At 46.9% G+C, this 21857-nt stretch overlaps 1 pseudogene, besides 10 other annotated features; it reads right to left on the bottom strand.

Moving 5' to 3' along the window:
- Positions 6556-6705: an enhancer, noted in NCBI's record as "active region_4417". NCBI's record gives its function as "activates an Ori minimal core promoter by ATAC-STARR-seq in GM12878 lymphoblastoid cells {active_cell/tissue: GM12878}" and the evidence as "EXISTENCE:reporter gene assay evidence [ECO:0000049][PMID:35858748]".
- Positions 6976-7065: an enhancer, noted in NCBI's record as "active region_4416". NCBI's record gives its function as "activates an Ori minimal core promoter by ATAC-STARR-seq in GM12878 lymphoblastoid cells {active_cell/tissue: GM12878}" and the evidence as "EXISTENCE:reporter gene assay evidence [ECO:0000049][PMID:35858748]".
- Positions 7786-8165: a silencer, noted in NCBI's record as "silent region_3134". NCBI's record gives its function as "represses an Ori minimal core promoter by ATAC-STARR-seq in GM12878 lymphoblastoid cells {active_cell/tissue: GM12878}" and the evidence as "EXISTENCE:reporter gene assay evidence [ECO:0000049][PMID:35858748]".
- Positions 8266-8955: an enhancer, noted in NCBI's record as "active region_4415". NCBI's record gives its function as "activates an Ori minimal core promoter by ATAC-STARR-seq in GM12878 lymphoblastoid cells {active_cell/tissue: GM12878}" and the evidence as "EXISTENCE:reporter gene assay evidence [ECO:0000049][PMID:35858748]".
- Positions 11500-12027: an enhancer, noted in NCBI's record as "H3K27ac hESC enhancer chr11:9631697-9632224 (GRCh37/hg19 assembly coordinates)". NCBI's record gives its function as "activates a minimal SCP1, AML or CMV promoter by ChIP-STARR-seq in naive H9 embryonic stem cells {active_cell/tissue: H9 hESC(naive)}" and the evidence as "EXISTENCE:reporter gene assay evidence [ECO:0000049][PMID:30033119]".
- RPL23AP65 (ribosomal protein L23a pseudogene 65) lies at positions 15515-16054 on the bottom strand (annotated as a pseudogene).
- Positions 20763-20992: an enhancer, noted in NCBI's record as "active region_4414". NCBI's record gives its function as "activates an Ori minimal core promoter by ATAC-STARR-seq in GM12878 lymphoblastoid cells {active_cell/tissue: GM12878}" and the evidence as "EXISTENCE:reporter gene assay evidence [ECO:0000049][PMID:35858748]".
- Positions 20763-21435: a biological region, named in NCBI's record as "H3K27ac-H3K4me1 hESC enhancer GRCh37_chr11:9622289-9622842".
- Positions 20882-21435: an enhancer, noted in NCBI's record as "H3K27ac-H3K4me1 hESC enhancer chr11:9622289-9622842 (GRCh37/hg19 assembly coordinates)". NCBI's record gives its function as "activates a minimal SCP1, AML or CMV promoter by ChIP-STARR-seq in primed H9 embryonic stem cells {active_cell/tissue: H9 hESC(primed)}" and the evidence as "EXISTENCE:reporter gene assay evidence [ECO:0000049][PMID:30033119]".
- Positions 21053-21222: an enhancer, noted in NCBI's record as "active region_4413". NCBI's record gives its function as "activates an Ori minimal core promoter by ATAC-STARR-seq in GM12878 lymphoblastoid cells {active_cell/tissue: GM12878}" and the evidence as "EXISTENCE:reporter gene assay evidence [ECO:0000049][PMID:35858748]".
- Positions 21483-21562: an enhancer, noted in NCBI's record as "active region_4412". NCBI's record gives its function as "activates an Ori minimal core promoter by ATAC-STARR-seq in GM12878 lymphoblastoid cells {active_cell/tissue: GM12878}" and the evidence as "EXISTENCE:reporter gene assay evidence [ECO:0000049][PMID:35858748]".

Genomic DNA, 21857 nt, shown 5'->3' with positions numbered 1-21857 from the left:
ACATCTGAACATCAGAAGGGACAGACTCCAGACACGCCACCTTAAGAGCTGTAACACTCACCGCGAGGGTCCACGGCTTCATTCTTGAAGTCAGTGAGACCAAGAACCCACCAATTCCGGACCCACCATCTCCCCTTTCACAATCTCCCTTTCTCTTTGCAAAAGAAAGGTACATCTCTTACCCATCCTGAATCTTATATTGCAAATTGGTCCAGGATATTAAAAATTCATCTCTTTAAACAGGACACCTATAGGAGGCTTCAAGTCTTTCCCTGTCTTATACATATTTCTGTTAAGTTTGAAGCACCACAGTGGAAACAGTGTAACTTAGCACATGTTGAGATGTTAGAGATATTGACCAAGGAATAACAAGCTTTATTCCTTCTCCCATCTCTAGACTGCTGTGAAAGAATGCTTTGCTTCCAAAACAGAATCCTATGAGGGCAAATGAGGGCAAAAGAAATAGAAGTTCAGTAGGAAATACCAAACACGGCAGCACCTTCTGTCATCCCAGCACAAACTCAGGGCCTTGCTCTCTGCCTTGGATAGTTATTCAATTTAGAACTAGAATTCAGACAAGAGATAAGGAAACACACATTTTATTGAAATTGAAAACTGAAGCCTAATTGGCTATTAATTTGATAATAAGACTGGTTTTGTCAATTTGGTTATATGACACATATTTTCCTAAGTTGAATGAGTTGCTTCTGTAGCTCTAAGGTTCCGACAAACTATAAAGCCCATAGTAAGATAAAACATTTTATTTTTAAATAATTATATTTGGTCCAGGCATGGTGGCTCACACCTGTAATCCTAGCACTTTGGGAGGCCTAGACGAATGGATTGCTTAAGTCCAGGAGTTCAAGATCAGCCTGGACAACATGGCGAAACCTGGTCTCTAAAACAAACAAACAAACAAAAAATTATATTGGCAAGGCATACTAAAGTTAATATTTTTATGTCTCCAATTCTTTCTCAGTATATTGGGCTACATAAGTTTCCTCTATATGAAATAATGAAACATATAAGTAATTTTTTTTTTTTTTTTGAGATGGAGTCTCACTCTGTCACCCAGGCTGGAGTGCAATGGCGTGATCTCGGCTCACTGCAAGCTCCGCCTCCAGGGTTCAAGTGATTCTCCTGCCTCAGCCTCCCAAGTAGCTGGGACTACAGGAGCCCCCCACTACGCCCAGCTAATTTTTTGTATTTTTAGTAGAGACGGAGTTTCACCGTGTTAGCCAGGATGGTCTCGATCTCCTGACCTCGTGATCCACCCGCCTCAGCCTCCCAAAGTGCTGGGATTACAGGTGTGAGCCACCGCGCCCGGCCAAGTAATATTAATTTGTTACGTTTTGGTAAGAATTTTCTTGGAGCCGGGCGCGGTGGTGGCTCATGCCTGTAATCCCAGCACTTTGGGAGGCCAAAGCATGAGGATTGCTTGTGCTGAGGAATTTGAGGGGCAACATGGCAAAACCCCATCTTTACAAAAAATGCAAAAATTAGCCAGGCATGGTGGCATGCAACTATAGTCCCAGCTTATTGGGAGGCTGAGGTGGGAGAATCACCTGAGCCAGGGGAAGTTGAGGTTGCATCGAGCCATGATTGCACCACTGCACTCTAGCCTGGGCGACAGGGTGAGACCCCATCTCAAATAATAAAATAAAATAACAAAAATAACCCTGGCTCGTTTTAAGAACTCATATAACACCAAAATGTAAAAAGTGAAAAATTAACCCCTTTGTCCCACCCATTTCATTTTCTTAAAGCTATTGCAGTTACAAAATGGAATGATTTCTATAATACCACACCTCAGGTGGGAAAAAACATAGACTAGCTAGAGAGGAGAGGAGTCAAAAGGTGAGGAAGCCTAACTCCTGGGTCACCCTGGGTCTAAATCTGGATCTGTGCCTGCCCTGAAGGCCTAACTCAATGTGCTCAGCTGCAGGTACACTCACACCCTGAGGGTAGTAAGGAATAACACTGCCCCACTCTTTGTGTTTCCAGATGCCTCTGAGACCCAGGGCCCAGAGAACTTCTGTGCATAGACCCTGCAGGCAGATTCCCCTTCTGGGGCTCTACTAACTCTGGTACCCATATATTTCAGTCCTTTCAGGGACTTGCATGTTTGAAAAACCTGCTGGTTAACCTGGATGAATCTCTATTTGGTGTAACTGGTAGCTCTTCCCCACATTCCTTCCACCCACCAGCATGTCCCACCCCAGGAATTGACTGGCCTCAGAGAGTTCACAGGGGATGAGGAAGGGAAGGTTGAGCATGGTCTCAGTTGCACAGCTGCCCCACACAGCTGCTTGGAAAGCTTTGGTCTTCTGATCCCGCTTTTGTGCCCTTCTTGACCCGAGGCAGGTCCAGAGCCCCTGGGCAATAAAAGGACAGTATTTACTGGAGGAGCACCAGCCAGTTCACTTCATTCATCCCACCTTGAGATATTTGGCTGCTCCTGCAACATATTGGTAGCTCCGTGAGAGTGAGACAAATGTCCTGCTCAAAGATTATAACACTTGTGTGCTTCGCCTTTTTTTTTTTTTTTTTGTCTCGCTCTGTCGCCCAGGCTGGAGTGCAGTAGCGTGATCTCAGCTCACTGCAGCCTCCACCTCCTGAGTTCAAGCAATTCTTCTGCCTCAGCCTTCTGAGTAGCTGGGATTACAGTTGCACGCCACCATGCCTGGCTAATTTTTGTATTTTAGTAGATATGGGGTTTCATCATGTTGGCCAGGCTGGTCTCAAACTCCTAACCTCAGGTGATCCACCTGTGTCAGCCTCCCAAAGTGCTGAGATTACAGGTGTGAGCCACTGCACCTGGCTGGGTGCTTCATCTTTTGAGTTAAAGGTCTGTCTGGACATAGTACTGATATTCCCAGTGTCTTCCATGCTGAAAGTGCAGAGAAGGCATTTGATGAATGATTAACTGAATGAATGAATGAACAAATGACTACATGGTTTCTCTAACTTCCTGTTTTTTAAGACTGTCACTGCAGTGTGTTTTAAAATATGCTTTCATTCCCTGCCTTGGTCCAGGCCCTTGCAATTTTTTGCCTGTGCCCTTCACCCAGTCCAGAAGAAGTCTCAGCAAAATCTTAGGAAGGTAATGAATGAGACAAGGGGCTAGCGGAGAGAAGAGCATTGTAAGCAGAGGAAAGAGGCAGGAGTGTGTCTGGCATGGTTGAGGAACAACAAGGAAAGCTATGTTGCTGGGGCCAATTGAGTGATGGAGAGAACAGTAGGATGTAGGGTCATAGGTAGAGGCTCTGGGTCAGATTGGGAAGGCCATTATAAGATCTTTGTCTTTTTTTTTTTTTTTTTTTTTTTTGAGACAGAGTCTCACTCTTTCACCAGGCTGGAGTGCAGTGGTGCAATCTCGGCTCACTGCAACCTCCACCTCCCAGGTTCAAGCAATTCCCCTGCCTCAGCCTCCCAAGTAGCTGGGACTACAGGTGCGCACCACCACACCTGGCTAATTTTTTGTATTTTAGTAGAGACAGAGTTTCACCATGTTGGCCAGGATGTTCTCGATCTCCTGACCTCATGATCCACCCACTTGGCCTCCCAAAGTGCTGGGATTACAGGCATGAGCCACTGTGCCCAGCCAGGACTTTGTCTTTTACTCTGAAACGGCAAGCTGTTTGGAGGGTTTTGAGCAGAGGAGGGACGTGATCTGACAGGTTTTTTTAAAATCCCTCTGTTGAGAACAGAGTGGTCGGGGATGGGGAAGGCCAGTTGCAGAAGCAGAGAAATTGTTAGGAGTAAGCCAGGCAAGAAACAACCAATGGCAGCTCTGATCTGGATGGTAGCAATGAAGGTGGTAAGAAGCGTTTGGATTCTGAATATATTTTCAAGGCAGAGCCAAGAGAACCTCCTAACCAATTAAATGTGGGAGATAAGAGAAAAAGTAAAGTCACTCCAGGATTTTGTCTGAGCAATGAAAGAATGGTGACATCATTAACTGAGATGGGCGAGGCTACGGGTGGAATTGTTTAGGGGAGTTAAGATCAGATGTTGTTTTGGATGTTTTGAGCTTGAGTTGTCTTTTAGACATCCAAGTAGTGATGTCAAGTAGACAGCCGGATAAATGATTGGGAGAGAAGTCTGGGCTGGATCTCATGCCATTTCATGCTTTAAATATATCCTCACTCATGTCTCCAAAATCAGCTCTGACTTCTCCCGTAAACTTCAAGTTCTTATATTTCACTGCCTACTTGACTTATTCGCTTAGCTTTCTAACAGGCATCTCAAATTTAATATGTTCAAAACTAAATTCCTAATTCCCCATCTCCCTACACAGAACACAAGCAAATGAACAAACAACAACAAAACTCAGAAAACACAATAGCAGTTCCATTCTTCCTAAAGCTTGATGTCATCTTTGACTCTTCCCTTTCTGACTTCTAAACCATCAACAAATCCTATTAAAACCGTCCCCAGGGCGCTGTGGCTCACGTCTGTAATCCCAGCACTTTAGGAGGCTGAGGTGGGTGGATCACCAGCGGTCAGGAGTTCGAGACCAACCTGGCCAACATGGTGAAACCCCGTCTACTAAAAAGACAAAAATTAGGGCCACGCATGGTGGCTCACACCTGTAATCCCAGCACTTGGGGAGGCCAAGATTGGCAGATCACCTGAGGTCAGGAGTTAGAGACCAGCCTGACCAACCAAGAGAAACCCCATCTCTACTAAAAATACAAAATTAGCCAGGCGTGGTGGCACATGCCTGTAATCCCAGCTACTCAGGAGGCTGAGACAGGAGAATCGCTTGAACCAGGGAGGCGGAGGTTGCAGTGAGCCAAGATCGTCCCATTGCACTCCAGCCTGGGCAACAAGAGTGAATCTCCATCTCAAAAACAAACAAAAAAAACCCCATCCCCAGGCTATCCCTATCACTCACACCACCATGTCCCACTCCAAAGAAGGGCTTCATCTCTTGCCTGGATTATTGTAACAATCTCCAAACTCTGGCTGTCTGTTCTCCATCGACACATTCATTCTTTTAAAATCAGAGTATCTCATTCCTCTGCACAAAACCCTTTAACAGCTCTTCTTCTCAGAGTGAAAGCCTATAGGCCTCACAGGGTGTGGGCCCACCACTTACGACTCACCTTCCTACTCAAAACAGCTTTCACTCCTCCTGGCCCACTCCACTCCTGTCACACTGGCCTCCTTCAACACACCAAGCACACTTCTACCTCAAGGCCTTTGCAATCATGTTTCCTTTGCCTAGATAGCAGTTTCCCCAGCCAGGCACAATGGCTCACACCTGTAATTCGAACACTTTGGGAGGCGAAGGCAGGAGGATCTCTTGAGTTCAGGAGTTTGAGACCAGCCTGGGCAACATAATGAGACCCCCCATCGCTACAAAAAAAGAAAAAAAAATTAGCTAAATGTGGTGGAGTATACCTGTAGTCCCAGCCACTTGAAAGGCTGGGACCGGAGGATTGCTTGAGCCTGAGAGGTTGAGGCTGCAATGAGACATGATAGCACCACTGCACTGTAGCCTGGGAAACAGAGCAAGACCCTCTCTCAAAAAAAAAAGAGAGAGAGAGAAAGCCCTTTTCCCAGATTTGCAAAAAGGTTACTTCTTCATTTCCTTCATGTCTCTGCTCAAATGTCAACTTATCAAAAAGGTCTACTTATCAAGTAAATCTACTTGAACTTAACTTGGCTGTAAAATGAAACCAACTATGCCCTTGGAATTTTTCTGGGGTCTGAGGGAGGGACAGTCTATAAGTAGGGAAAGTCAAGTCCTGGCTCTACTCCAAAGTACATCCCATCTCCCTTACCTTGCTTCATCTCTCTCTGTTACACTTACCAGTACCTGACTATATATGTATATTTAAATTAATGTTGAAAGCATGACTTCTCTGGAACTTGAGAGTTCATGACATCAGAAACTGGCTAGGGAAAAGAAGAGACCTCAGCATGAGCACAACGTTCATGACACACCACCACCACTACCACACATACACACAAACACACACACACACACACACACACATTAAATAACCTGGAACCGATGCAATTGTACAACAAAGGGAAATGATAAAGTGTGCTTGTGGGGTAGAAAAGTGTACAGTAATTGGCTGGGTGCAGTGGCTCATGCCTGTAATCCCAGCACTTTGGGAGGCCAAGGCGGGCAGATCACCTGAGGTCAGGAGTTCGAGACCAGCCTGGCCAACATGGTGAAACCCCGTCTCTACTAAAATACAAAAATTAGCCAGATGTGGTGGCACATGCCTGTAGTCCCAGCAACTTGGGGGGCTGAGGCAGGAGAATCGCTTGAACCTGGGAGGCAGAAGTTGCAGTGAGCCGAGATCATGCCACTGCACTCCAGCCTGAGCAACAGAGTGAGACACCGTCTCAAAAAAAAAAAAAAGAAAAGAAAAGAAAAGAAAAGTATACAGTAATTAAAAACACTAATTACAAAGACAGTAAAATGCTTATAGTATGTTACGGAAAAGTAGTACCATCAATTGCAAAACAGAGCAACTCAATATATAATTACATACAGTACTGCTATAATCACAACAATGCAAAATACATACACATAGGAAAGCTGAGATTTAAAACAAAATTGGTTATTGTGTTAGGCCTATTAAGGGGATTATGGGTAGTTTTGTAATCTTTTATTCCTCACAAGTAAAAACAAACAAACAAACAAACAAAAAACTTATACTCTTTTTTTCCATAAAAGGAACACGTTTTAACTCCCTGGGCACACTGGTTGAGGAAAATCCCAGCCCAGTGAAGTCAGCACCCAAGTTCCCCAGAGACTCCCATGTGTGGTTGGCAGAAGGGTCCTGGGCCAGGTCTGTGCAGAAGGGCTGTCCCAGAGGTTGAAATGGGTAGTAAGTGAAGCATAGAGTATTTGCATGACTAACCCAGGGGAAAATACCCACCAGAGAGTTATTTCTATTTAAGACAGAGAAATGCAGAAGTAAATCTACTTGAACCTAATATGGCCTTAAAACGAAAACAACTGTGCCCCTTGGAGTTTTGGGGGGCCTTCCTGTAGGGAGAGAAAATCAAGTCCAGGCTCTAGTGACCTTCACTGGAGAACCAAATTCTCCTGCAGGGGTCCAGAATGGGGGCTTCGGGCCCTCAAGGGGGCTTCAGTGCTAGTGCAATGAGTTCTGAATCCATAAACCTGCTGAGCATTGACCTTAGACCAGCATTTCTTAACCAAACTAAGGTTATGAACCCTGGTAATCATAAAAACGACAGAACTTCTTCCCAGAAAAATTGCACATTTGCCCTAAAATATGAAACAATCTCAGGAGTTTCATGGGCTCCCTGAATCCTATCCACTCCTAGTTGTCCCCATACCCCAGATTAAGACTCTCTGATGGACCTGAATAAATACAATGTCCTACATACAATGTATAAAACGTGTACGCTGTTTTTCAAGTCTACTGATAGAAATGTGATGAATAAATACAACTTCATTTAAAAGAAATACTGAATTTAGAGACTTCCTGTTATATGTGATCTCCAGAGGACCAGTAAATGCCTGTGCAAGCCAAGGAACACGTTAAAAAGAATCCCCTATCCCTGCAACAAAGCCCGAAAGGGATTCTACTGGGACAGTTGCTCGGTCCCAGGGCCCAGGCATTGGAGAGAGCCTCGCTCCAGAGACTCTGTGGCCCCACCGGAGCCGGTGCCGGCTTTTAGGGGTTTTCTCACGGAAATGTTCAGCTGCCGGTGAGTTCACGTGCATTTAAGTTTTATTCTCCAGTTAGGACCGGGTTTTCCAGATGTGGGTTGTCAGCGCGTGCCCAGTAACCAGCTTGCGCCCAGGTGCGAAACGCAGTCATTGGGTCTCTCCGGGTGTGCGTCCTGGGTGGAGCCCCAGGGGCCCCGGCGTGGGTGGCCGTCCTGCTCCGCGGGTACCCGCGGAATGCCCTGCCCGCATGCTCCCTCTGCTGGGCGCGCCTCGGCGCCTTCCGGGTGCACGGCCCTGCCCAGGAGCGGCGCGTGGGGCCCCGGGTCTGCGGATGAATGGGGAGATAGCGAGGGGAGGGGCGCACAGCACAGCCCACTCCCCCTTACCCACGCCTCCAGAACAGTCCTACCCCTAGCCCCAACACCTCCTTCTATCCCCGCCCCGCTCTCCCCAGACGCTCTTAATCTGATTGAGACTTCGGCACGTAAACGCGGTTCTAGGAGCCCGGACTGGCTCAGTGCACGACTTATCAGAAACTTACCCGTATCTAACACACAATAGATTCGTGCACATCTGTTGAATAAAGAAGAGTTTGTTTTTCGTGTTTGAACCGTGTCTGCTTCAATAACGCTTCCTGCAGTGGTCCTTTTTAGGAGGGGTACAGTGAGTGGTATACTGCGAGGGAAGCGGGACAAGGAGGCAAAGGGAAGGGAAACAGGCGGGCCCAGAGAGCAGCTTCCGAGTGACCTGGAAAATCAGCGCCCAGAACTCATCTAGACACAGAGGCTCGGTGCCATGGCATTCCGCGCTGACTGCCAGAACCGCGGGCCGCGGAGCCAGCACTGTGCCGGCAACGTGGTGGGGCGAATGCCCTGGGGTCGGAGAGGTGGAAAGGCCCGAAAGGAAGAGCCCAGAAGGGGACAGTCCCCACCCAACGGCAGGGTAAAGGCCCGTCTCTACTGGTTACTAGAGACGTGGAACCCAGGAAGCTCGAGGCCCCAGGAAACCGGCATAGAAGGAGGCCTGTCAAAGGGGCCCCGAATCCTCCCGCAGGGACAGAGCGACACGTCCACCCGGGCTCGGAGGACTAACACCAGGAGTCCCCTGAGGCCCTGCCCCAGGCTTCCCAGGTTGTGGGGACACCAGCTGCCTGCAGGGGGCGGGATGTTCCTTTGGCGCTGCTGGGCAGTGACTAAGAGCAGAAACAAAAATAGAAGCTGAGATCAACGGAAAGGAATGAGACTGAACAAACACACGCATTAATCCTGATGGGATACATAGTAAAATAACATTCCCAAACACGGCAGTAAGAAAAGATGAACTATGTAAAGAATGCGCAGATAAATGAATGAAAATTTGGAGGACAAAAATGTGTTTCACATCGTATTTCAAAATAAACACCAAGTGGATTAAAGTGCTAAATATTTTAAAGAACAGCCATAGAAACTATATATTTAATAGGATAAGGCAGTTATATTTATGGATAAACGTCAGCGTTCTCAAAACTTTGAAACAACAGAAGAAACAACAAAGGAAGACTAACGTTCAAAAATACAAAAACTGGACAGAATTTTAAAAAGACAACAGATTGAGAAAAATGTCTGCACCAAGTGACAAGCAAATACTACCTGAAATGTATAAAAGCTTGTTTATAGGCCAGGTGCAGTGGCTCACGCCTGTAATCCCAGCACTTTAGGAGGCCAAGGCGGGTGGATCAACTGAGGTCAGGAGTTCGAGACCAGCCTGGCCAACATGGTGAAAGCCCCGTCTCTACTAAAAATACAAAAATTAGTTGGGTGTGGTGGCACACGCCTGTAGTCCCAGTTACTTGGGTGGCTGAGGCAGGAGAATCGCTTGAACCCGGGAGGCGGAGGTTGCAGTGAGCCGAGATCGCACCACTGAACTCCAGCCTGGGTGACAGAGCAAGATTCCATCCCCCCCACCCAAAAAAAGCTTGTTTATATATATAAAAACAATCAAGGTACCAATTGCTAAATAGACAAAGAAGGTAAACATGCACTGTAATTCACAATAAGAAATAAAAGTCATACCCAAGTGCATGGGGAAAACGTTCATTGATAATCAGAAACTTTAAACTTAAAACAGTTATGACATAACACCTTACATCTACTAAAGTAGCAAAAATGTTTTAAAATTATAATGCAGGCTGGATGCAGTGGCTCATGCCTGTAATATCAGTTCACTGGGGGCCAAGGCAGGAGGTTCCCTTGAGGCCAGGAGTTGGAGACCAGCCTGGGCAACAGAGTGAGACCCTGTCACTACAAAAAATTTAAAAATTAGTCCAGCATGGTGCTGTGCTCTAGTAGTCTTAGCTACTTGGGAGGCTGAGGTGGGAGGATCCCTTTAAGCCTGAGAGTTACAGTGAGCTATGATCACACCAGTGCACTCCAACCTGGGCAATAGTGAGACGCTGTTTCTGTAAAAATAAATAGAAAAAAATATAATAGAAAAACAGAAAAAAAATAATGCATAATGTTAGCAGCATGGTAAAATAATAGTCACCATTGCTTCATACAACTCTATCTGGTTTTTTTGAGACGGAGTCTTGCTCTGTTGCACAGGCTAGAGTGCAGTGTTGCCTCACTGCAACCTCTGCCTCCCAGGTTCAAGTGATTCTCCTGTCTCAGCCTCCTGAGTAGCTGGGACTATAGGCACATGTCACCACACCTTGCTAATTTTTGTATTTTTAGTAGAGATGGGGTTTTACCATATTTATCAGGCTGGTCTCAAACTCCACTGCTCTGTTGCCCAGGCTGGAATGCAGTGGCGCAATCTCGGCTCACTGCAACCTCCGCCTCCCAGGTTCAAGCAATTCTCCTGCCTTAGCCTCCCAAGTAGCTGGGACTACAGGCGCGTGACATCACACCCAGCTAATTTTTATGTTTTCAGTAGAGACAGGGTTTCGCCATGTGATCCACCCACCTTGGCCTCCCAAAGTGCTGGGATTACAGGTGTGAGCCACCGCGCCCGGCCCATACAACTCTTTTGAATAGCAATATAGTGATCTTCATTTATTCAACAAACAGCTATTAGGGAGTTCCTATTGCAGATTAAATACTACTGTAAGATCTCACTATAATGGAGGGAAGAGACAACAAAGAAACAAATATACATGATGCAAGGTGGTGGTAGCGGTAGGAAGAAAAATAGAACCATGAGCAATGGGACGTGCTAATTGCATCAGCTTGGTTAGTCAGGGTAAGCCTCCCTGATAAGATGACATTTGAACAGAGCAACACGAATGAAGTGAGGGAGCAAACCTCATTCACACCTGTGGGAAGAGTGATCCAGGCAAAGGGAACAGAAAATATAGTGACCTTGAGGCAAGATCATACTGTAGTAGAACATCAACTGATTGCCTTTTAACCATGCACACAGTAACACGGAAGAAATGTTTAAATTAACTTACTTTATATACATATTAAGACCCACAAGAAATGTATTAAGCAGAAGCAATATAGTCAAATACCTGTTTCTTATCTTAACTAAACAAAAACTTAACCTCAGTGGAAGGTGACATTGCCAAAAGTTTGCTTCACCCCATCCTCTTCTCAAAGCTAGAGTCTGCCAGACATGAAATGTTATGTCTTCATTTGCAGCATGCTCAGTCCTTTTCTAAATAATATCTAAACATGTGAATTAAAGTACTGTCACAGCTCAGAAAAACGGTCATCACAATAAAGGCAAAAAGTCTTGAGTGGGATTATCCAGTTTTGTAGTTTTTTTGTTTTTTGTTTTTTGTTTTTTTTTTTTTCTGAGACAGAGTCTTGCTCTGTCGCCCAGCCTGGAATGCAATGGCGCGATCTCAGCTCACTGCAACCTCCACCTCCCGGGTTCAAGCGATTCAGCCTCCCAAGTAGCTAGGATTACTGGCACCTGCCACCATGCCCGGCTAATTTTTGTATTTTTAGTAGAGGCAGGGTTTCACCATGTTGGCCAGGCTGGTCTCAAACTCCTGACCTCAAGTGATCCACCCGCCTCAGCCTCCCAAGGTGCTGGGATTACAAGCGTGAGCCACTGCACCCAGCCAGTTTTGTAGTTTTAATTACCATCACTTTTCTAGTGAGCCTCAAATAAATCCCTAACCTGAACCTCAACCCTGAACTCCAGACTCAGATATGCACCTGTCTTCTTGACCTCTCCACTTAGATGTCTGATAGGCACTGCAAATTTAAATGTCCCAGCTGGGCACCATGGCCCACACCTGTAATCTCATCACTGTGGGAGGCAGAGGCGAGCAGATCCCTTGAGTTTAGGAGTTAAAGACCAGTCTGGGCAACACAGCAACACCCTGTCTCTACAAAAAAAAATTTTTAATTAGCCAGGCGTGTTGGGACATGCCTGTAAGTTCTAGCTACTAAGGAGGATAAGGCAGGAGGATCACTTCAGCCAGGGAGGTTGAGGCTGCAGTGAGCCATGATTACACCCCTGCATGCCAGCCGGGGCAACAGAGCAAGACCCTGTCTCAAAAAAAAATTAAATGCCCAAAACTGACCATTTATTTTCCATCTGCCATCCCCTCCCCCACACACACAATGTAGTTTCTCTAACAACTAATTGCAAGGCAATTCTTTTTTTTTTTTTTTTTTCTTTGAGAGAGAGTCCCACTCTGTCACTCAGGCTGGGGTACAGTGGTACCGTCTCGGCCCACTGCAACATCTGCCTCCAGGGTTCAAGCAATTTTCCTGCCTCAGCCTCCCAAGTAGCTGGGATTACAGGCATGCGCCACCACACCTGGCTAATTTTTGTATTTTCAGTAGAGACAGGATTTCACCATGTTGCCAATGCTGGTCTCGAACTCCTGGCCTCAAGTGATCCACCGGCTTCAGCCTCCCAAAGTGCTGGGTTTACAGGTGTGAGCCACCACACCCAGCCAACTAACAGCAAGTCACAAGGCCCCATGTGACCAGCTTCATCACCTCTGTGACCTCCTACTCTACCCTTCCATCACCCCTCTGGGTCGAATTGGCCTCCTTGCCGTTCCTCAAACACACCAGACATGTGCCCACCTCAAGGCCCTTGGACTTGTTCCCTCTACTGAGAGTGATCTTCCCCTCCATAGTCATCCGTGGTCCACGTCTCAGTTTGTTGAGGTCTTTACACAAAAGCCAAAGCAACTTTCTGAGTGAGGCCTTCCCTATACAACCTATCTAAAATAAACACACACAAAAACTCCCTGATTTGAATTTTCCACTTTAGCATTTTATTGCCTTTTTCAAGACAGGGTCTTGCTCTACCACCCAGGCTGGAGTACTGTGGCGTGATCATAGCTCACCACAGCCTTGAACTCTTGGGCTCATGCAGTCCTCCTGCCCCATCCTCCCAGGGCCACAGGCATGTGCCACCATGCCTGGCTAATTTTTTATTTTTATTTTTTGTAGAGACAGGGCTCTCACTATGTTCCCCAAGATGGTCTCAAACTCTGATCCTCAAGCAATCCTACACCTCAGCCTCCTAAAGCACTAAGATTACAGGAGTGAGCCACCATGCCTGGCCCATTTTATCACTGTTTAAAGTTATATATTTTTTACTTGTTTATTTTGTTTATTGTCTATATCTCCCTATTAGAATGTAATCCTATAAGCCCCAAGGGCATGGATTGTTGTCTATTTTGTTCACTGATGTATCCCCAGTGCCCAGAATGGTGCCTGCCACCTGGTAGACGCTTGATAAATATTCACTGAATGAATAAGAGTGGGAAGGAAAAGCACATAATAACCACGTGGTATGGATCAGAGACAAGAAACATTCTTATTAACAGAAAACTAATTTAGGGAGATTACTAAGAAAGTCAGGTGTGGTCATGCAAAAGATTCTACAAAATACAACTAAATGTCTGAGTCACCAAGATAGGGGCTGGGGGTCAAATAGTCTCTGACAGAGAAAGCTGACCCCCTCCCCGACTCACAGTTTACATCCAGCTGCCTTCAGAATCACAGTCCACTGAGGGCTGAGAACTCCAGAATCTACACATGCCCAGCCCCCATACATACCTTGGTCCCGGAAGATGGGTGGGAGCTAATGGGGCAAAGGGATGTCTAAGGTTTGTTTCTCTCAGCTGGGATGCTCTCAGGTAAGGCATGGTAACAGAAAATCCAGTTCAAACTGGTGTCGATAATAAAGAACATTTGGGAGTCTGAGGTGGGAGGATCACTTAATCCTAGGAGATCGAGATCAGCCTGAGAAACCAAGCAAGACCCTGTATCTTGCTTACAAAAACTACAAATTAATAATAATAAAAAAAATTAGCCAGGCGGCCGGGCACAGTGGCTCACGCCTGTAATCCCAGCACTTTGGGAGGCCAAGGCGGGCAGATCACCTGAGGTCAGGAGTTCGGGAACAGCCTGACCAACATGGAGAAAACCCATCTCTACTAAAAATACAAAATAAGCCGGGCGTGGTGGTGCATGCATGTAATCCCAGCTACTCTGGAGGCTGAGGCAGGAGAATCGCTTCAACCTGGGAGGCAAATGTTGCGATGAGCCTAGATTGCAGCACTGCACTCCAGCCTGGGCAACAAGAGCAAAACTCCGCCTCAAAAAAAAAAAAAAAAAAAGAATGGACTCAGACAAGTTGTTTCTCCTTATAGGGGTAGAAATGGCTGCAGTTTTTAAAGATTTTACATCTTTGCACTAGACTTCAATCTCACTTCAAATTACTGGGCTTCAATCTGTTTGGGTCAATGTTTGTCATAGATTCACTCCAAAGCAACCCCTGTGACCAGAGAAAAGTCAACACACAGAGGAGGGTAGAGCTGGCTTGGGCCATTCCCTGACCCAAACACTGGGCCCGGGGATGGGATTTTTCTAACTGATTTAGGACACGCCCCTGAGGCTGGAAGTGAAGCCAGTCCTACCTAAAGAGCTCCTCCATAGAGAACAGTGTGTGAATGGATGGGAGACCGACTACAGAGTCCATGACAAAGACATATCCACCCAGGGGGTCCAGGAGACCACTGTCTACTTCTATTCTGACTTAGGTCTAGTTATCCCTCTCCTCACCAGGGCCAGGCCCTGCAGAGGCTCACCAAATTTCTGTTGGGAACTTGGTGCATACCAAGCTATAGGCATAGCCTAGGGCCTTGGTCTGCACAGCGTGGAAGCCAAGTCAATCCTGGTCTCTTTTAGTGCCTCTTCAATCAGCCCCATGATGCCCCCAACTCTTCCTGTCATCCTAGGCTGACTCCCAAAATGCAAGTGAATCCGACAGTGGGCCTCTCCTACACTCTCGGGATGATGCTGCCCTCTGTGTTTCCGGCTATTACTACAGCGTCCTGAGCCTGTATCACCTGGAACCTTGGTTCATTTACAGATGGGAGCTCCCTCCACTTTCTGCTTTAACTGAAACCTGGCTGAGGACATGGCATGAGTCCTTGCTAACTTCATCAAGATAGCCTCCCTACCATGTGACAAGGAGGAAGGTGGTCCACATGCCCCGTCCTCACTGCCTCTTTCACATCACCACTGTTTTTGGGCTCCTTTCCTCGGCACTTCCCCTACATTCACTGAGGACTTTGGCCCCTGACTCACAGACTTCCCAGGAGAAATACTGCCATCATCCTGGGTGATTTAGTGTCCCTGCGGATAACACCTTCTATATCTTAATCTTAAAGTCTCTAACCCCCTTGTCTCCAATGACCTTAGCCCTTCTTACTGCTCAGGCCACGCATCCCCTTGGTCACACTCTGAGCCTTGTCATCACCTAAAAGTAATACTCTGACAAAATCCGATTATCCAAACATAGGCACCTGTTCTTACAGCTCCCCCTTCCTTATCTCATTACATCTGTGTCCCCTTAAACTTCCATCTTCTTTTTTTTTTTTATGGTGAAAAGATATATATATGTATATTTAGAATTAGGCATCTGGACTCAGTTTAGATGATCCCAATTTTGTTGACAACATCCAAAGCATCGTAATCAGGAGCCAGTCGAACATATGCCTTCTTCTCTCCATCAGGCCGAATCAGGGTGTTGACCTTGGCCACATCAATGTCATAGAGCTACTTCACAGCCTGTTTAATCTGGTGCTTGTTGGCTTTAACAACCACAATGAACACAAGTGTGTTGTTGTCTTCTATCTTCTTCATGGCAGACTCAGTGGTCAGCGGAAACTTGATGATAGCATAGTGGTCAAGCTTGTTTTTCCTGGGAGTGCTCTTCCGAGGATATTCGGGCTGTCTCCGGAGTCGCAGTGTCTTGGGCCGCCGGAAGGTGGGTGACGTGTGGATCTTTTTTTTGTGGCTGTGGACACCGTTCAACACTGCCTTCTTGGCCTTTAAAGCCTTCGCTTTGGCTTCAGCTTTAGGAGGGGCAGGAGCTTCCTTCTTCGCTTTCGGTGCCATCTTGTGAAAAGGCCTTCCATCTTCTTGACATCACGTAGTGCTGAGCAGTGTAGGGAAAGCTCCATTCCCCTGTAGACTGGCGCCAGGGTCTTCAACCCCTTGACATCTGGGTTCTCTCTCTATTACACCACTGAAGCCACTAATGTTGCCAGGGACTTCCTTGTTGCTAAACTCCAGGGACCCCTTATCTTCTTAGTCCTCTAAGTCCTTATCTTTTTAGTCCTCTTCTCTATGTTGACCACTTCTTCATTCTTGAAATCCTCTTCTCCTGCGGCCATTAAATTGCCGGTCACCCATCATTTTCTTCTAACTCCTCAAATGCGCTTTCTCCTTTTTCTTCACTAATTCCTTTTCTTCCCATTAGCCCCATAAATGTTGCTTTTCCCAGAGCTCTGTCTTGGTTTACTTCTCCTTTCATTTTACAAATTCTTGGATTATCTCACTCATACCCAGGGTTTCAACAACCACGCAAATACCAATGATGTCCAAACCTAAATTTGGGGCCTTGATTGCTCATTGGGTATTGCCACTAGCATGCCCTGCAGGGGCCTTAATTTCAGCATTTCCCAAATTGAACTTTCTATTCTCTACCCTAAACTCTGTGGGACATGACAGACTGTATGGCCGGGCACAGTGGCTCATGCCTATAACGCCAGCACTTTGGGAGGCTGAGGCGGGTGGATCACTTGAGGTCAGGAGTTCAAGACCAGCCTAGCCAACAAGGTTGAAACCCCGTCTCTACTAAAAATACAAAAATTAGCTGGGCGACATGCACCCATAATCCCAGCTACTCGGGAGGCTGAGGCAGGAGAATCGCTTGAACCCGGGAGGTGGAGGTTGCAGTGAGCTGAGATTGTGCCACTGCACTCCAGCCTGGGTGAGAGCAAGACTCAATCTCAAAAAAAAAAAAAAAAAAAAAAAAAAAGACAAAAAAAGACCAACAGATGTCACCTCCCTCCAGACAGAAAAGGAAATTTGAATAGTACTCATCATTACTAATTTAAGATGTATTAAAATGTCCCAAATATCTCTTTTATTCAGCAAGTTGATGAATATAAAAATATTTATAATCTTATTTTCTCCTTCAAGTCCTGAGTGGCTCAACTGTGAATTCTCCTCCCACAGATGATTTCAGGAGGACATGCTGTGCCTTGGCCATTGGCCCACCTTGTATTGGCCATAGACACGAATCATGGAGTAGACAGCAATTGTCTTGTAAGTGGGTGCAGTGTATTTGTTTGCATGTTTAGAAATGTATTTTGCTTTCATGCAGATATTAAGCATACTATAAGAAGAGGCTGGCCAGGTGCAGTGGCTCACACCTGTAATCCCAGCACTTTGGGAGGCCAAGGCAGGTAAATCACATGAGGTCAGGAGTTCCAGACCAGCCTGGACAACATGGTGAAACCCCGTCTCTACTAAAAATACAAAAACTAGCTGGGCGTGGTGGTGGGCGCCTGTAATCCCAGCTACTCAGGAGGCTAAGGCAGGAGAATCGCTTGAACCTGGCAGGCAGAAGTTGCAGTGAGCTGAGATCGTACCACTGCACTCCAGCCTGGGTGACAGAGCGAGACTCTGTCTCAAAAATAAATAAATAAATAAATAAATAAAATTAAAGAATTAGCCAGGTGTGGTGGCAGGTGCCTGTAATCCCAGCTACTCCGCAGGCTGAGGCACGAGAATCACTTGAACCTGGGAGGCGGAGGTTGCAGTGAGCTAAGATCGCGCCACTAAACTCCAGCCTGGGTGACAGAGCCAGACTCCATCTGAACCACAAAAAAAAAAAAAAAGAAAAAAAAAAGAGAGGCTGAGTCATGTGTAAAGCTGAAAACAGATATGAGACCCAGCGTGTCCTCTGAAGACACTCCAGGAGGGTCTTATATCACCTTTTGAACTGTGGGCTCTTACCAGGCAGTTCCAGGTCTTATGTAAATGGACTGAGAATTTTCTAGAAAGTGAGACACCAGCTCTGGTAATGGAGCTTCCAAAACTGGCTAGGGGAAAAGCAGTCCCTATTGACACAGTGCCTCCTGGGTGCCACTGTGATTGAGGGATGCAAGGTAATCTGAGGTCTCAGGATGAACAAAGTTTTGGATAACATTAATTTAACCTACTCAGTTTGTCATCTGTTTTCTTGGTGTGTGGTGCAAGAAACAAAAACCTAACCAACTACTTCAAGAAGGAAAAGCGGGGGTTGAAGCTGGTTGGAAGGATAATTGAGTGTTTCAAGTAGCAACTAAACCAGAAGAATACAAGGGAAACTCTGATTTGGGGCCTTGGTCAGATACGAATGGAACCAAGGATTCAGTTCTCTGGTTTCCTCTGCATGCTGCCTTCAGCTTTCCCCACCATTGCCTGAACTCCTCAGTGTGACTGGGTGCCATTAGCTCCCTGGCCTCATTCACATCCCACCTGCCACTGGCAGAGAGGGACTGGTCTATTCTCACTCTGCTCTGCGAAGGGACTTTGGCCTGGCTTGGCTCAGAGGGAGACCCCCAAACTATTGGTGGTTGGGCTGTGAAGAGATCTGATGAGACCTCTTGATTCAAGTCTGCCACTGGACCAATTAGCTATATGCCATGGGGACAGGGTCATATAGTACAGACCTGGTCATTGGGCACTCACCCTATGTAACAAGGACAATTTCCAGGGTAGAAGGATGTGTAAGAATATTAGAATTTGGGGCCGGGCACGGTGGCTCACGCCTGTAATCTCAGCACTTTAGGAGGCCGAGGCGGGTGGATCGTCTGAGGTCAGGAGTTCAAGACCAGCCTGGCCAACATAGTGAAAACCCGTCTCTACTAAAAAATACAAAAAATTAGCTGGTCGTGGTGGCAGGCGCCTATAATCCCAGCTACTCAGGAAGCTGAGGCAGGAGATTCGCTTGAACCCGGGAGACGGAGGTTGCAGTGAGCTAAGATCGCGCCACTGCCCTCCAGGGCAACAAGAGCGAAACTCTGTCTCAAAATAAAAAAAAAAAGAAAAGAAAAGAAAAGAAAAAGAATATTAGAATTTGGACTGCAATTAGAATATTAGAATTAGAATATGGGCAGCCACCCTAGTGGGGATTACTACATCATTGCTAAGTAATTTTTTTTTTCTTTTTTTCTTGAGACAGAATCTCACTCTATCACCCAGGCTGGAGTGCAGTGGCACGATGTTGGCTCACTGCAACCTTCACCTCCTGGATTCAAGCGATACTCCTGCCTCAGCCTTCCGAGTAGCTGGGATTGCAGGAATACGCCACCACATCCAGCTAATTTCTGTATTTTTAGTAGAAATGGGGTTTCGCCATGTTTCCCAGGCTGGTCTCAAACTCCTACACTCAAGCCATCTCCCTGCCTTGGCCTCCCAAAGTGCTGGGATTACAGGGGTGAGCCATCATGCCCAGCCGCTAAGTGTTTTTCAATTCTTTCCCACAACACAGTCAAATAGCCTTAGTACGTTGCCCATGATAATGAGGTCATGTGCCAAAACACGTAAGAACATGGCTGAGACCTCTCTCCTTGCTCTGTCAGTCCCTCAGGCCCCTGGGCTGTCCTCTGTCTCCTGGCTTCCAAGGCCTCAGCCCCTCTCCCAGGCTGCTTGCAAAAGTGTCTACCCAAACCCTCCCTCTGTGTTTGCTCCCTCTGAGTTGATCTCTTTTCTTATTATGCCCAAAGGGAGAGCCTTGAAGTCTTCTGGAAGGGAAACATCTACAGATGTAAATCTGCACGTGCTCCGTAAGAAGACTGGAGGTTGAGGAAGGGTTTCCTTCTAAGATCTGGTGCAGCCGGGAGTGGTGGCTCACGCCTGTAATCCCAGCACTTTGGGAGGCCAAGGCAGGCGGATCTCTTGAGCCCAGGAGTTCAAGATCAGCCTGGCCACTATGGCAAAACCTCATCTCTACAAAAATACTAAAATTAGCCGGGCACAGTAACTCCGGTAATCCCAGCTATTCAGGAGGCTGAGGCAGGAGAATCGCTTGAACCCAGGAGGCAGAGGTTGCAGTGAGTCAGGACCGCACCACTGCACTCCAGCCTGGGTGACCAGAGTAGAACCCTGTCTCAAAAAAAAAAAAAAAAAACCAAAAACCAAAAAACAAGCAAACAAACAAAAAAACCTAGTGCAGAAGAATAGGTGAGGGGAAGGGGCATTTGTGTTGCAGACTCCCCACGTGGGTCTGGGTCCCTCCCCGGGTGAGGGTATTTTCTGCCCCCCTAGATGTGTGAGCCAATGTGTGTGTGTGTGTGTGTGTGTGTGCGTGTGTGTATGTGGTCATGCATGAGCCTGTGTGACAGACCAACTGCATGCAACTGACAAGTGGGCAGCTGAGAGTGGGCAGTGATTGTCCCAGGCCCTTCCCACTCACTCCAGGTGCAAGCCGGGATCCAAGCCTTCTGCCTCTGGCTTGCAATTGAATTTGACATCTGCACTGGCCCTTGCTGCTCCCTAAGGTTTGAGCTCTTATTCACCTTCTGGCCACTTTGGTTAGCATCTCCTCCTCTAGTTTCAGCTTTCACATTAAACCGCAAACCCAGCCTGTGGGAAAGTCCTCCAGTCAACCTCACACCAGCAACACTCTTGGGGCTCAGCAGGAAATATGCATACTACTTCCTGTCGGGGAGGGAGCTAGATTCTTCCTGGTGCTGTCTGGACACCAAAGAGTAAGAAAGATAGAGAAGCAGCTGCTCTGCCAAAGGGGAAGAAATGCTCAGCTCCGAAGTACAGCTCTGCCCTCCACCACCAGCCTCCAGCTCTGTCTCTGCTGGGGCCACTCAGCATTCGGGAACCAAGAGATAGGAAGGGACCCAAGGGGACCTGTGGGTGGTAATGCTCAAGACTCAGGCACAAGGGCCTGGGCACAGAGGAGGCAGCACCAGGAACACTGGAGACAGGGGGATGGTGCAGGGGACATGAGGGACAGTGCCTAGATCAAGCCTGCTGAAGGAGCAGACGGCAGAGCTGGTGTTGCAGCAAGAGCAGCTGCTCTGGGCCCTTGCCAGAAGAAGATGGGGCTCCGAAGAGGACAGCATTGCAATGGTGACACAAGTCCTTCTCTTCTTTTCTTCCCAGGGTTGTTGTGACTCATTCCTTGATGGAAAAAGCCTAAGCTCTCTTATATACATTCCTTTCATTTGCTCATTCATCAATATTTTCAGCTTTGGTCTGAACAAGAATAAACAGAAATTCATATTTTTCAGAAGTTTGCTTATTGCAGAATTGAAACCCAGCAATGGAAAACATGAATCTGGCAGTGAAACTGGCTTCACTGGCAGTGAAACACACTATGCTCTTGCCACCCTAATAACCTGCACAGCTGCATTCCTCTGGGCCTTGTTCATGATGATGGATCCCGCTACCTAGGAAACCCTTCTGCCTCATCCACTTAGCAAACTCTTATCCATCTTTCAAGCCCTAGATGAGGTGTCGCCTCTCCTGCGAACAGCAATACCCAGCTCTTTATCCCGTGGATTCATTGCTTACCATTTGGTCCCCATAGTGACCTATGCTTGCCACAAAAGGACATTATTTTATTGTATATGGTTAGTTGTTTCTGCCTAATACCTCCACTACACTGTGTACAATGGAGAAGGAAGAAGGATTATCTTGTTTGTATTTGTATCTGTGTCTAGCACTAGCTAGTAACTGCTCAGCATTCAGGTACCAGGAGAAAGAAGGGGACCTGGGGTTGACATTGCCCAAGTCTCAGGCACAGAGGCCTGGGCACAGAGGAGACAGCACCAGAACACTGGGAGCAGGAGGATGGCGCAGGAGACATGAGGGTGCAAGGACTAGCACAGTGCAAGTCCTTAAAGTAAATGTTGCTGCACATGGTGGCT

Source organism: Homo sapiens, chromosome 11, assembly GCF_000001405.40.
Source record: "Homo sapiens chromosome 11, GRCh38.p14 Primary Assembly".
Taxonomy (NCBI): domain Eukaryota; kingdom Metazoa; phylum Chordata; class Mammalia; order Primates; family Hominidae; genus Homo; species Homo sapiens.
The sequence above is the reverse complement of the archived record's forward strand: the minus strand, read 5'-3'. Positions and strand labels throughout refer to the sequence as shown.